This window comes from Homo sapiens, chromosome 2, assembly GCF_000001405.40.
Source record: "Homo sapiens chromosome 2, GRCh38.p14 Primary Assembly".
NCBI classification, from domain to species: domain Eukaryota; kingdom Metazoa; phylum Chordata; class Mammalia; order Primates; family Hominidae; genus Homo; species Homo sapiens.
The window spans coordinates 124218399-124234475 of record NC_000002.12 but is presented as its reverse complement, the minus strand read 5'-3'; the positions used below and the strand labels follow the sequence as shown (position 1 = coordinate 124234475).

General features: G+C 36.8%; 1 protein-coding gene across 3 annotated transcripts in view; it reads right to left on the bottom strand.

The window, feature by feature from the left end:
* The window catches only part of CNTNAP5 (contactin associated protein family member 5), an 895933-nt gene that overhangs the window by 686744 nt on the left and 193112 nt on the right, over nucleotides 1-16077 (bottom strand). For all 3 annotated transcript variants that reach the window (NM_001367498.1, XM_017003316.2, NM_130773.4), the window contains exon 2: nucleotides 12667-12771. In NM_001367498.1, coding sequence (NP_001354427.1) covers nucleotides 12667-12771 — 105 coding nt within the window. The remainder of the gene's footprint in view (nucleotides 1-12666; nucleotides 12772-16077) is intronic.

The following is a 16077-nucleotide window of genomic DNA, read 5'->3' as shown; positions in this document are numbered from 1 at the left end:
TTTAAATTTCACTTAAAATAAATTAAAAATTGAATTTCTTAGTCACAGTAGCCACGTTTAAATACTTAGTAGCCGTGTTGCTAGTGAATACCTTGCATAGCACACTTACACATATTTCCATCCTTGCAGAATTTTCTATCGGCCAGTGCTGTTGTAAAATTTCTCTTATAAAATGAGTAGAGGCTCAGTTCAATTTTAACTTGGCAAATCAATACACTCTAACTCTGCCCATCTGCTGCTCAGGACTAAGAGATTGTTAGTGGATTCTAGTGGATTATGTATACCTGATTTTATATATATATAGAAGATTCAGCAGCAAGGTAAAACACTGTTCCTGTTTTTAGGCATATGGAAAAAAATTACTCTCCCAAGATTATCAAAGGGAAAAGGGAGAACTGGAATTGGAAGTGATTTGAAACTGCAGATCTCATATTGATGACATTACCACTTACATTTTTTTTCTCATGAGCAGTATATACTTTATGCACAGTTGAGCATATTACATTTAACTTGGATTCTTGGAGCAATTTTCTTTTAAAAGACAGTGCCTGGTCGAATTCTGGTGTTTTTGAGTTTAAAAGGTCACTTTCTACCTTGTGACTTTGGATAAGTGATTTCCCTACTTCTATAAAAATAGTATGGTTAGTGTCTACCATACCATGGATAAAATAATATATATATATATATATAAACTCACAGGCATCACAACTATGGACACAAAATGATTAAATATGAGTGTATTGAATTGTATTACTGTGAAAGAGAGAGAGAGAAAGGAGAGAAAGAGGAAAGAGAGAAGGAGAGGAGAGAGAGAAGGAGAGAAAGGGAGAGAGAAAGGGATAGAATGAAGATTTATAGACATGGTTGATTATTCTCTATCAGATAATGAATGTAAATTCAGCGATGGTAATTCCATCCTCCTTGACTGTGATTGTTTCAGGACTGGGCAGATGACCAAATTGTGGAAGCTGGTGAAATAGGAAAGGGTGATTCTGGGTCTTGGATCCTTGAAGAGTTTCAGTGCTCTAAGAAGTGCTTCCCAAAGTTTTGTGAGCATCAGAATCACTTAAGGAACTTGGGAAAACATAGGTTTCTACTGCCAGAATTTCTAATTTAGTAGGTTGGTGTGAGTCTAGATAATCTACATTTTTATCAAGTTCCTAGGAGATGTTCATTATGCTGCTATTCCAGGGCTCACACTCTGATAGCTTAAAAAACAAGCCACAGGAGGTCATGGTCTCATTGATTCCCAGAATGTTGTAAAGCTGGCTGAGATGTTGGGCAGGCTTATCAGTTCCAGGACAATGCTGCCACTGAGGATGGTATTGTTGAATTAAATCTGGCAGCCCTGGAGCCTGCCCTTTTTGAGAATTTCCTTTTGTTTTTAATAATTAATTTTTACCTTTAATCCTTTTGTAATGAAAAAAAAAAAAACCCACAGATACAAAAAGTCTCACAAAATGAATGTTCAGCTTAATAAAGTATTATAGGGTAAAGGATCTTGTAACCACCCTGTTCTGGAAATAGAAATATGAACACCTTTCAATCTTTATGTGCCTAATCTGAATAATTTAATATTTTTCAACCAGTGTGAGCTGGATTTTCTGTTATTTACACACAGAAGCACACCAATAAAGATACCCCAGAACGCTTTCTGATTGCCATGGATATTTTTTGTAGAAAAGATTCATTAGAAGCCAGTCCTTAGCAAAACAAATGATAAAAGTTCTTTGATCAAATCTGGATTTTTAATGAAACATTTTCATTGGCTAGAAAATTAAAGTCCAGACATGATCAACCAATTGCGTAGATGAATATAACTGAAATAAGCAAGGAGTGAGATACTCAAAAGGAGAAATGAGGAGGGGGTCACCATGAAAGAAGGAGTCTTCAAATTGAAAATCTGGAGAAAGATGAACTAAAGGATTATATTAACTCCCATTTTCTGTTTCTTTGGCGTTTGTTATATGTTGCCATTTTCACTTCTCATGGAGAATTCAGTAAACCTAAACTCATGTTTTTAAGGACATGTCCACAATGTTTAAATGAAAGGCTTCTCGAGAAGAAGACTCCAGTATCCAACAACATATCCAGTAGACTCCTTCTAACTATTCCCAGTTAGACGAAGGAAAAACATCTACCACACAATGTTCCAGCTGAACATAGCTTATTTCCTCCTAAATGTGACACACATTGAAAACATTGTAAACTGACATTGTAAATTGCTGTTATAAACTGCCAATCACTAGACAAATATGTCACTAATAATCATGCTCTTAATTCTATTCTTACAGTTTTGTTGCAATGCTTTAAGTTAAATTCAATGAACTAATGAATTAAAGAAGCTCTTGTCTCTTTGCAAAGTGTTAGAAACATCAAAGTGATGGTTTACTGCATTTCATGGAGTGCTGCTTAGAAGTCATCGCAACCTGGCCTTTCAAAGGAAGTGACTTACAATCAGGAAAAAAAAAAGTAAAGGATGAAGTACATGAAATTCGCTTCTTTCTTGGAACTTTTTTTTTGTGCCAAATGGTGATGTTCAAATCTTTTGATTAGTAGCCAGTAACAAATTTTCTATAATCCCTTTCCTTCTCCTCCTCCTCATCATGTGGTTTTGCAATTAGCCAGCCTGAATAGAGGGCTATCACATTGAATTTGTCTCAATTTGAGACAGGGTCCCAAGGCTCCTGTTAAATAGCAGAAGGTTTCTGTCCTGTATCTTTCAATGATCTATAGCTGTCCTAGTAAAAGAAGAGGCCTAAGGCATTGTTTAAATATCCAGGTCAAGGTTAGTTTTTCCCTCAGGCATATTAGGCCACACAGTATGATTTTAGGGGCATTCAAAAGGCAAGATATATAGGTTTCTCTTTCTTCCTTGATGTCTGAAAATCTATTATTTTAGTTAAAATACTGAGAACCCTAAGGGAATACCAAAATTACCTGAAAGCTAATTATGTCAAGAGCATCTTTATTCAGACTAAGATCTTACATCAACATCAATAAAGATATTGATTAATGTGAAGTAGACAGACCTAGATTCAAATTCAAGCCCTACCAAAATTAGCTGTGTAGTTTTGGGCCACTGACTTAACCTCTCTGACTCTGTTTCTCCATCTTAAAAAATGAGAAAAATGAGTACCAGAGTACTGAAGTGATGACAGAAATGAAGAACAAAAGTTTTCAACACAATTCCTTCTTTTTAATAACTTAGCCAACTTTGATTCTTTCTACTCTCTCCTACCCCTAAGATCCACAGTAAATAAGTCATAGAGGTGAGAACTGAAATAACAAAAGGTTCAGTGATCCTCTAGAATGCTGCATCTCAAATTTCAATTTGCAGAAGCACCAGCTGTTAATGCACGGGTTCTGATCCAGGAGTTCTGGGTAGAAGCCAAGATTCTGCATTTGTAACAAGCTCCTGGTGGATGTCCCAGCTTCTACCCACCATACACAATTCGACTGGGAAGGGAGAGTGTGATGAAACAGAGGAAAGCATAGATTTGGATGCTTACCATGCCTGGGACAGCTAGGACAGGACACAAGAAAGGAAAGGTGCTGAAAAGAGAGAAGGGTGGTTCACAGGGAGAGGGGGTAATCCACTGACCCATTTCTGTATAGCTTACTGTCTTTTAAAACACATTAGAGGCTGGGCGCAGTGGCTCACGCCTGTAATATCAGCACTTTGGGAGGCCAGGGCAGGTGGATCACCTAAGGTCAGGAGTTCAACACCAGTCTGACCAATATGGTGAAACCCTGTCTCTACTAAAAATATGAAAATTAGCTGGGCACAGTGGCATGCACCTGTAGTCCCAGCTACTCAGGAGGCTGAGACAGGAGAATTGCTTGAACCTGGGAGGCAGAGGTTGCAGTGAGCCGAGATCATGCCACAGCACCCCAGCCTGGGTGACAGAGTGAGACTCTGTCTCAAGAAAAAAAAAATAATAATTTATATATATATATATACACACACACACACACACACAAAAGAAATAAATAAAAAATAAAACAGAGTAGATTAGATATATATTCTATGGGGCTTAATAAATCCAGAGAGAAGACTCATGTTGCCTCCAGAGAGCAGACGTTGTAGTGTTGTTTATGAAATTGGGTTCCCAGGATTTTCCCTTGTAATCTGGAAAAAGTCCCTAGACAGCTGAAATGCTAATTGTGCAAATGAACCCTGATTTTTGCTTGCTTCCAACCCTCATCTCCTCATGGATGGCCTGATGACATCAAGATGAAAACCAACTTCAGAACACCTTTAGGGTCCTTAGCAATTTGTAACAAGTACTGCCCAAGGAAGTGGTATGGGGGGTGGTAAGTGTGCATGGAATCTGTGCCAAAGCGGGAGGTAAGGATTTTAAATCTTTTTATCCATCCATGAGCCCAGGGAGCTGAAAATGCCTTGACATAAGAAATCAAATTCTCCATGGCAACAAAACTGTCATGCTAGAAACACACAATCTCAACTTACACAGGCAAGCATCTCAAAAAATACATTGAGTGAGGAAGACGGATTAAAATTTCAAGGAACAAATGATAAACATAATGGTTTCCAAACTCTATTTGGAAAAAAAAAACATGCAATAGAAAAATACAAACCTCTCCTCTCATGGGGCCAAAGATGTCTATTTCTATTTTCCTTTTAATCATCTAAAGTAACTTAAATCCTTCCCCTTCATTTTCAAGAAGGCCTAACCCACAACTCCGTGGCTTCATGCTATATACCACCAACCCCTGCACTTCCTGCGGACAGTAAGTCTTTCTCTGAAGCCCAGCTGACTCTAATGCCGAGATCAAAAGCTTTCTTGCCACAAAACAAATCATATTTGACAAAGACTGATCCGTCCTAAGCCACAATTATATAGATTGAGTTGGCAACCTAAGTTAATGGTGATCTGACCTCCAATTTAATGTATTTTGTTGTGTTTGTTTTTTCTTTTTTCCAAAAGTAATTAGTTCTCTTCCTTGCTTTTCATTTTTTTTGTGTGTGATGAGATGAAGGCTGAAGTGTTTGTGGAAGTGAGAGAACAAAAATTCTATTTGGCAAATCCCTTCTATCGATGAGATAGCAGCATGGAGACTATTATAGTTGAGCTTTAACTATTAATCCCCTCCTCGTGTGCCGGATTGCCCAGACCTTGATGGGCACAGCAATACCTACAGCCCAACAGCTGTTTCCAAGTGTGTGTTTTCTCTCAGAAAAATTAGTTTGTTATTGATGGAACTCATTAAACTTGGTTTACCTAGGGTTGGGGGAGCTCATAGGTTAACATTTGCCCAGCACATTTTTCCTTTAGTCTTTATTTCAATGTTTGAGTTGGTCTTTTCTGCTATGGCAAACTGATCAGTTACGCACACTTTCTTCCTGGGTATAGGGCAGACATGAGTCTACCTGAGTTCTGAGCACACGTAGGGGTAAAGTGTTCCCTAGTCCTTTATGTTCAATGTTTGCCAAGGTTTTATATAATCATCAAGGGACTCAGCAATTTTCAGTGATGCCCAAAAACTTGCAGGGGAGCTCATCAGTGTGAAATAGTTCAGCAGTGATGAGGTACAAGGATATTATTGAGGACATTCTATCCTTTTGAGGGGGATTTGATGCTCTGAAGGTCATGGGTTTTACAATTTAAATTTCATCTTGAGTGGGATACCCAGTGGGATACCAGGATGTTCCTTGACAAGAGTGTTGGAAGGCTGAATGGTGTAGAGTAGAAGAAATTCACTAATTACTGTAATAAATGAACCAATGAATAAATGTGTTAAGAAAACACTATCTAAAGCTTTGAAATCATAAGAAAATATAGTATGATCTTTCAGTATCCTCCTGGAACAATTTGAAGCAAATCCATTTAACAATTATTTAATTTTCCAGAAAAATGCACATGTCATTTGGTTTGGCTAGTTCCTGGGTGATCAGAGCTTAGATACTGTGAAGTTGTCACATGCTAACTTATAAATGTGTGTCCAATAGAGAAGGTATAACCCCCAAGTTTTATAACCCTGTAAGACATTGTGATGGTTTCTATTAGGTGTCAAGTTGACTGGGTTAAGGGATATCCAGGCAGCTGGTAAAGTGTTATTTTTGGTTATATCTGTGAGGGTGTTTATGGAAAATATTGGCATTTGAATCAGTAGAAATATTCACCCTCACCAATGTGAGCAGGCACCATCCAATCCATTGAGGGACCAGATAGAACAAAAAGGCAGAGGAAAGCTGAATTTTCTCTCTCTCTCCTGGGGCTGGAATATTCATCTTCTTTTCTTCCTGGACATCAGAATTCCAGGTTCTTGGGTCCTTGGGCTCTGGGACTGATACCAGTGGTTCGTTAATTTCTCAGACCTTGGGCCTCAGATGGAGGGTCACACCACTGGTTCCCCCAGTTCTCAGATCTTTGGACTCAGACTGAATTACACCACCAGCCTCCCTCTTCTCCAGCTTACAGACAGCATATCCTGGGACTTCTTGGCCTCCATAATCATGTGAGCCCATTTTCATAATAAATGATTTCATATATATGTGTATATGTGTGTGTGTGCGTGTATATATGTATTTGTGTGTGCGTGTGTGTGTATGTGTATGTGTATATATATATCCCGTTGGTTCTGTTTCTCTGGAGAATCTTGACTAATACATACATTAACTAATTTTGTATCTACCTAGCAATTTTATTCCAATATTATTTTCTTCCGCCTCCCCCCACCCTCACCAAATGTCTCTGAATACACAGTTCCCAAAAAATACTCTTTGAATTAGCTTTACCATTTTACTGGTTCCTGCCTTAATAAGTTTAATACACACACACACACACACACACACACACACACACACACATACACACGATGTGCTGAGTTTATATTTGTATAAGACCTATGAGTTTATATTTGCATGAGAGCTATGTTTTTAACTTATTGAAAATTATACTTTGACAAGTATTTATTACTTACTTATTTTAAACTATTCCCTGGGAATTAAAATAATGCATGTGTATCTTAGTACCTACTCTTTTTCCGAACACATGTTTGTGTTTGTGAGTGTGTATGTGAGGGAGAGAGGGAGTGTGTGTGTAAAATCTGGTGTTTGGACATTTAGAAGGGGCAGGGATTTGGTGTTGAGTAGTAGATCTGAAGGAGGCAGGTTCACCATACCCTCTTGGAAGAGAGAATAGAATGAGGCTATATAAAGCAGACCATTGTGACTGCATTTATTAGCAAATCTGTTAGGGAGGAGAACATGCTGGAAGTTGAAGTGTTGAGGCAGAATATTATAAAATATGGCTCAGTGTATTGAACAAGGCAGAGTGGAGAAATGCCCAGCACACTCAGAGTGATTGCTCATTGCTTTCCAAAGTAAATGATACTTTTTTGGATATGACACTGCTATAACTTGAACGTTTGTCCTGTGAAACTCATGTGGAAACTTAATCCCCAATGTGGCAGTATTGAGAGGTGCAGCCCGTAACAGATGATTGATTAGCTCATGAGTATTCTGACCTCATGAATAGATTAATCCATTTACTAATTAATGGATTAATGGTTTAATGGATTGATGGGTTGTCATGGGAATGGGACTGGTGGCTTTATAAGATGAAGGAGAGGGACCTGAGCTACCATGTTAGAGCACTCAGGCACCTTGCTATGTGATGCCCTGGGCTGTCTCGAGACTCTGCAGAGTCCCCATAAGCAAGAGGACCCTGACCAAATCTGCCCCCCTTGACCTTGGACTTCTCAACTTCTATCACTGTAAGAAATAAATTTCTTTTCTTTGTAAATTACCCAGTTTTAGCTATTCTTGTATAAGAAACTGAAATGGGCTAAGATATCTAAAGCACAGACAACAAAGACAAAAATGAGCAAGTGGGACTATATCAAACTAAAAACCTTCTGTACAAAAAAGAAAAAGAATTAAAAAAATTAAAAGGCAAACTATCAAATTGGAGAAAATATTTGCAAGCCGAATATCTCATAAGGGGTTAATACCCAAACATTTAAAGAACAAGTACAACTCAGTAGCAAAAAAACAAATAACCCAATTTAAAAATGAGCAAAAGACTAAATTGACGTTTTTCCAAACAAGGCATACAAATGGCCAACAGGCACACAGAAAGATGCTCAACACTGCTAATCATCAGGAAAATAGAAATCAAAACCACAATGAGACGTCACCTCACACCCGTTAGGATGGCTCTTTATAAAGAAGGAGATAGGTGTTGGTGAGGAGGTGGAGAAAACAGAACTCTTTTACACTGTTGTTGGGAATGTAAATTAGCATAGTTATAAGAAACGGTATGGAGGTTTCTAAAAAAAAAAAAGAAACTACCATAAAATCCAGTAATACAACTACTTTGTATATATCTGAAGGAAATGAAATCAGTATCTGAAAGAGATATCTGCAATCCAATGTTCATTGCAGCATTAGTCATAGCAGCCAAGATACGGAAGCGACCTAAGTGTTTCTTGATCAATAAAGGGATAAAAAATTGTGGCATTTATACAATGGAATATTATTCATCCATAAAAAAGAAAACCTGCCACTTGCAACATCATAGATGAGCCTAGTGGGCATTGTACTAAGTGAAATATCCAGGCACAGAAAGACAAATACTGCATTATCTCACTTATATGAGGAATCTGAAAAATGTTGAACTCAGAGAAGCAGAGAGTGGAACAGTGGTTGCGAGGGACTGGGGTGTGAAGAAAATGGAGAGATGTTGATCAAGGTACAAACTTGCACTTCTAATATGAATACATTCTCTGAATATAATTGTACAGCATGGTGACTATAGTTAATAATACTCTATTGTATGCTTGACTTTTGCTGAGAGTAGGTCTTGTGTTCTCACTACAAAACAAAGAAAAGGATAACTACATGAGGTGATGGATGTGTTAGCTAATTTGATTGTGGTAATTATTTCAAAATGCATACCTATCAAATCATCATTTCATACACTGTAAATGTATACAGTTTTATTTGTCAATTATACTTCAATCACATAAGAGGGAGGGAAGTAAGTGAACTAATAAAAATGACACACAGCTTTCCCTGTCTAAAACACTGAAGTTATTCTGGCTCTCTGGGCAGGATAGTGTTGTGGTGCTTTGGCCAATAGCACTACACAGATTCAGATCACTTGGGTGAAAGCCGGGCATGGCCATTGCTTTCCTCTCTGTGTCACCTATGAATCAGAGATCACAATGACATCTACATAAAGGGTAGTTGTGAGTATAGAATTGGTGTACCTTAAGGGCTCAGAACATTGAGGGCTCATGGGAAGTTCTCAATATAGTGGTGTTATAATTTTTAGTTGTGCGCTGCCAGGCATCAGCTTACAACCAGGGGAAGAGGGAGGGTGTAATTCTTAGGCACACAATCTCACCATCCGGAGAGATGCTCCTTTACATCTGCATGTATATTCGAGAGCATCTGAGATTTCAAACCATGTGGTACAATTTGCTCTTTTGGATATATTGCATGTTTTTTCTTTGTAAAACAAAAGATAAGTTTTAAAGGAAGACACATTAAAAAGGAGTGTTCATTGAGACAGTGTTATAATTGCTTCTAAGCCATGTCAGTGCATAGACAGGACATAAGTTTGGTCTTAAAAGGAAGCAAATAAATCAGTATTTTATACTGATACTTCCAATATAAACAAAAATTATAAGTTTTCTTCTTAACTTTCTAAATGTTATATTTTTCCACTCATGAAACAAAATCTGTTCTTAATAGCATTAATATAATGACTTTCAAGTTTTATCTTAATATATCTGTATACCACATATGTATATATTTGTACATGACTGTATATGCATGTATATGTTACTATGTCCAACTATATAAACATATATATTCATCCTACTATGTATGAATATATTTATATAACCAAACCTGTATATATCCACCTCTTTGTATATGACAGACTCTGACTGTATATATTCAACTACATATGTGTGTGTATATATATATACATTTTACTCTATATATTATATACACATATATATCACATATACATGGTTTATTATAGTAGAAATACATATCTGGACATACTTAACAAAATAATTATGTTGATATTATTACTAATGACAAATGTTAGCTGTTGATCAGTATCACAGTTTGTAATTGTATGGTAATGGTATTATCCATGTCAGCTCTTTATGAATACTGTTTGTGCCTATTTGTGCCAACTGTGTGTCAAGGATCTAGAACAATGCCTGACAAATACTGGGACTCAATAATTATTAATAGAAGGATTTTTTACTCATGAATTCCTCCAATGTAGCAATTTGCAACTCTTGTTCCATTTTAGAATGACCTGGAAGCTTTTGTTTCTTCACTTTATCAATATCCTTGCTTGGGTCCCATCCAAGACAATTAATTCAGAACATAGGAAAAATGGGCTCAGGCAATGCTCCTTGCAAAGCTCTCCAGGTGATTCAAATGCACAGCCCTGGGATGAGAACCACTGATACCGTATCTCCCTGAGCCAGTGTTTAATTCCCACTGAGGGCCGTGGTTGGGCCTCGGTGAGTAAAGGAGAGGCTGTCCCCCTTGGGAGTCTTGGAATATGCACTAGAGGATGAGTTCTAGGTCAGTGCATCCCAACTGTATCACTATGTCTTCTGCTTGGCCTTTCTGATTTAGACTCTTGTTGGGAAACGGAAGAAAAGTGAACCTCTCTGTACATTTATGCTAGCCTTGGATTCAGGCACTCAAATTCCCCGGTGAGCCGAAAAATTATAATAAGTTGGAGCAAAGACACTTGTCCTCACTCAATATCTGTCTGTCAGGGAGAGAGCCGGCCTGTGATCAGACCCACAGCTTCCCCCAGAAACTGCTCAGGAGCTATTAGGCAGTAGTAATTGCTTTCTGCTGCTGCACAATTTGGGTGGGATCGAGACAACTCCTTTCTCTGGAAGCTCTGTTGGAAACCGTGTTAAATTCTGCCAACCTGTGTTTCTTCCTGAAATGGAAAGTGGGCTTCCTGCTCCAGTTCAGTTCTCTACCCTGCTGTAAGAAAGATATTTTGGATATGCAAGTCTGATCTTAATCTGCACATAATGTTGCAAGGCAGACATTCCTGGGCCACTTTACAGATAAAAAACTGAGGTTGGCAGAGGTAAGTGACTTGTGCACAGTCAGAGAGTTTTTAAGTGGCATAGCTCGCATTTGAACTGTGGTTGATTGATTAGTTTTTATTTTCTTGCTGCTACACCCCTTTTCAATCTGTACTAGTGAAGCGATTTGTTAACGGGATGAATATAAACACGAACTTTGAATTCAGATAACCTAGGTTTGAATGCAAGCATTTCCCCAGACTAGTTTTTCTGTCTTGGGAAACTGATGCCTCAGGAACCCTACCTGAAGGTAAAAGGTAATAATGTTTGCAACAACTTTGTGAGGACTAAATATCATAATAAAACTAAAATGCTTAATCAAATTTTTGGCACAGAATATTCAGCAAAGGACATTAGTACAAAATTTTAATTGAAATTTTCCTGTTGAATCTTTGGCCATTCTTTTGTTTTTAGAATATTATTCTTAAACAGCTTTCTCAACAAACCAGTGACACTTGCTAACTTTTAAATTATGAATCCCATTTTAATAGAAAACTGGTGAAATGAAGTACAAGACAAACAGGAAACAAACATACAAGCAAAAACTATAAATCAATCTCACTAATAATGGAGATTAAAATTATAAATTCAAGTGTTAACAAATTAAATTAGTTAGCGTGTAAAAAAAAAAAAAACACAACGACCAATTAGAACTTATTCCAGAATGCAAAGATGGTTCAATATTGCAAAAACCTGCTAATGTAACCTACTTAAGATATCAATGGAAAATATACTCAAAATTAAATAATATAAACTCTAATAGACCCGTAGCTCTCTTTAAATTGCATACACGCTTTTCTTGACCTAGGAAAAGTTTATAATATTTAGTAGATATTAAGATACTATCAGATACCTAAAAGTCCTTAAAAATTGAAATAATTCAAATCTCTTTTGCAGTATTTATCTACCTATGTATCTATGCATTAGAAAAGTCAACATCCAAATCTGACTAAAACGTATCTGCCTAGATATCCAACATCATATTTGTTAACAACATTTCATATGAGAGATTAGTTAAGGAGGTGCTCTTACTTCACACAGATGTTAAAGATAAACACCATATACTTAACTACAGTTATTTCTAGCTGGTAGAATAACAGATTATTTATATTTTCTTACTTTCAATTAATAGTATTTTTGTATTTTAAAAATCAGCAATATTAATTTTCAAGTAAAATTAAACTTATTGAAAGAAAATTTAATAAACATTCATTATAAATATTTTATTATAAAACATGTTTTATATCTATTTATGTTAGCTATGGAAATATAAAAATAAAGCAAGTGCTTTTTATAAAGTAATTTTCACAAAGACCTCTCGTGATAATCAAAAAAGGATACTGTGATTTGGGTGAACACAAGTCAGCATACTTTGAATGACTATTATGCTATGGAAGTATGCTTACATTAGATTTTCACTCCTCTCCTCGTAAATATTTTCCTGAAGACGGCCATTGGACATGATTTCAGTGTCTGAGAGTGCTCACTCTCCTTCACCTACCCACCACGTAATTATTTAGTGCTTGGCATTAGGATTTCAGTCAGCCTACTTACCAACTCTCCAGTTGAGTTGAGCTGGGCTGTGAGTGCCAGTGAGGTCTGAGGAACTGGAAAAAGCCATTGGAGAGAGCAGGGATGCTAGTGGATCATCACAGTTGTCTATAATGATAGGAGGACAGAGGGAGAGAGACCAGATTCTATTAGCAAGAAACATTCCATAAGAAGAGAAGTTGAGAAATTAACTACCATCATTTATTAACCACCTGCTCTGAACAAGGTCAGGTACTCCCGGTTTCCATGTGTTACTGCATCTACTCCTCACAGCACCCCTGAAGGACAGGTCCAGCTTTCTTTCACAGATGAGGAAAATTAAGTTCAAAAATGTCAAGCAGATTGTCCAAGGTCTCAATGCTAGAAAATAGCGCAGCCAGAATTGTCACCTAGATTTGTCTGACTCAAAAACCCAACTAGCTACATTTCTTCAATAAGCCACTTGAGCAAACCCTCAAATTATTGCCATCAAGATTATTCTATAAGAAGCGAGATGATTAAAAGGGGGAAACATTGTTTGACTACTCTCCCATCTTCAGTTCCTAAGAGCTCCCGTAATAATTGTGTCTAGAGGAGTAGGATAACTTAAAATATCTTATTCCCAGTTGTGTGAAAGTCTTCAGAAAACAATTTACTTATTCTGAGAACTTATTTCTATTCCGTGAAGCAGTAGTGAATAGTCCTAGATCTTGTATATTCTGAATCTGGTATTTACTTCAACAGCTATCCTTCCAACCTATCCTAAATGTGGAAAGTATTCTTTCTAAGGATTCTTTGATGAGGCCCAAATGTGGGACAGGGTGGGGCCATGAGCAAAGATGCTTGTCTTGAGAAGGTAGATATACCCCTCCGGGTTGACACTGATATCCTGACCATCCAATCTCATGGAAAGGAACTGCTCTTCACTCTTAGTATATTGTTGCCATGGTTGGAATTTTTGTCATTTCCCAAACTCATGATGAGATCTAATGTCATTGTAACAATATTAAGTGTTGGGGCCTTTCAGAGATGATTAGGCTGTGAGGGCTCCACCCTCACTGGCTTAGGTTTACAGCTTTAATAAAAAAGCTTTCAGGAGTGGGTTCTCTCTCTCATTCTCGTCTTCTGCCATATGATGATGCAACAAGAGAGCTCTCACCAGATACCAGAACCTTGATATTCAACTTCCCAGCCTTTAGAACTGTAAACCAATAAATTTCTGTTCCTTATAAATTGCTCAGTCTCAGGCATTCTGTTATAGCAATACAAAATGGTCTAAGACAATTGGTCATCTAAATTTTTTGTAATAATTCACTTATCTGTTTGTATTTTCCATTGGGTGACACACATTTTGTGGGACCCTAGCAGAGAATCTGGTACATAACAAGCCTTTGATAAAGGTTTGTTGAAAGAATGGGATCGTGAGCTAATGAAATAAGAAAGGAAAGAATGGGAGGCAGGATCGATCAGTCAATCTACCAGCCAATTAGTCAGTATACTATTACCAATATTCTTTTCCTATTTTTTGTCTTGTACACATTTAATTTCATAGGACATTGAACAATGACTTCATGAAATCTAGACATACCTCACTCAAAACAAATTTAAAATGTGCCGTTTAGTTTGAAGGTAAACTTCATGGTAGTAAAGGCTCTCAGGAAGAATTGGTTTGATTTATTTTTTTTTTTAAAGAACATTTACATAGTATTAAGCTTATTTATTCAGCAAATTCTTAGCAGTATTTTAACTAACTGCAGGAAAATTAATTAGAAACACAAGGATTAAATTATTGTTCATTAAGTGTATTAAAAAATCAACTGGCAAAGTGTATTTTGAGTTTTTCCCAAATACAAATGTTGAAAAATATTTTGAGGTATTTGACAAATACAAAACCGAGCCAGATCCTCACTGAAGAAGAATAACATAAAAATCGCAGATATGGTTTCTCGGCAGTTATGGTCATTTGGTGAACAGAAAGCAGATCACTACCATTTTACCTCTGGCAGAAGATACAGGTGACAGAAGGTGCATACATACCTCAAAGCACTTGTTTAAAGTCACATATTTGTTGCATTATTTATATATTAGAAAAAAACATATAATAATCACTTATTAAATTATATTCAACGTAATGCAGATCTTGCATGTACGTATGCCTGTTTTGTCATCAAGAAGCATCAGATGAATGTGGAAAAAAAGTGAGCCCCATAGAAAAATACAAACCACACACACACAAACACATATATAGGTCTTAAGCATCAATACGGTATCTACATTCACAGAAGCCTTCTAAGCCTCATCCATCCAGATGTGTAGATATAACCATCCTCCTATTTCAGGTAACACTCTCTCCACTACTTAACAAGAAATCACAGCTTTTCTGACACCCACTTCCACTGGAAAGTTGTAGCTCTTTTTAACATAAAGTATTATAGCTATTGTATATAGTAGTTATGTATTTATTAGACACTGAGCATGTATACAACTCTGCTACTATTTTATTAGGTTTTTATAGTCTTATGTGTGACTGATGAAATTTTTGAGTATTGTACTCCTAACCCTACTTCTCCCCTAAATCTTTTCTTATAAAATTTTTATTGTACAATTAGCAAGCCATTTTTACAAATGCATATATTGTGTTGTAGCAGAATTGACTGTACCCCTGTATATGTTTCAAGTCAACTCAACCATACATTGCTCAAGAAACAACTCTGGAATTTATTTTTCTCTTCTTTTTCTTTTTTGGTAATCTTCGCATTCATATATAAATTGTTAAAATGATCATGGAATAGTAGAAGTAACCTAATCATTTCAAATTAATTCAGTCCAACCAATATTTATAAAGTCTCATTTTGTGCATATTCTCAGAGAGGCAATCAGGATAGCTTTGGGTAAAATAAAGTCTAGACCTCAAGGAGCTCCGAGGCCATTGAGAAATATAGAGATGTAAACAAATAAATAAACTGATGAGGAAATTTAGGAGACTTTCACTATGATTACAGCGAACCAGTAAAATTGGTATCTATCAGTCCAGACTCTCAGGCAAGTGATAAGTTTTGTTCTTCCAGACCTGTGCAATCCCCTCCATCATGAGGTGCTGACCTCCAGGAGAACTAAGCTTCCAGAGCCCATTAACTTGTGGCAATAACTGCCATTCCCTACTGTCCGTTTTCTCCTCTGAAAGATGTCTGCCTTGTATCTCAGTTTCCAGGGACAGTTGTTCCACTTTGGAAATTAGTCAATCCATAGATTTATGCTAATGGAAAGATCCAAGGAAGATTTTTCAGCAGCCCTTTCCTCATAGACCCTATGCATTTGAACAGTGGCTTTTTGGGAAACATATCTGAACTTTTGATCTCCTGTCCCTAAAAGTAATAAGAATGGAAAAATCTCAAATCTAAAAGGAAGAAATCACTCCCTGCCCCCAAAAGCAGA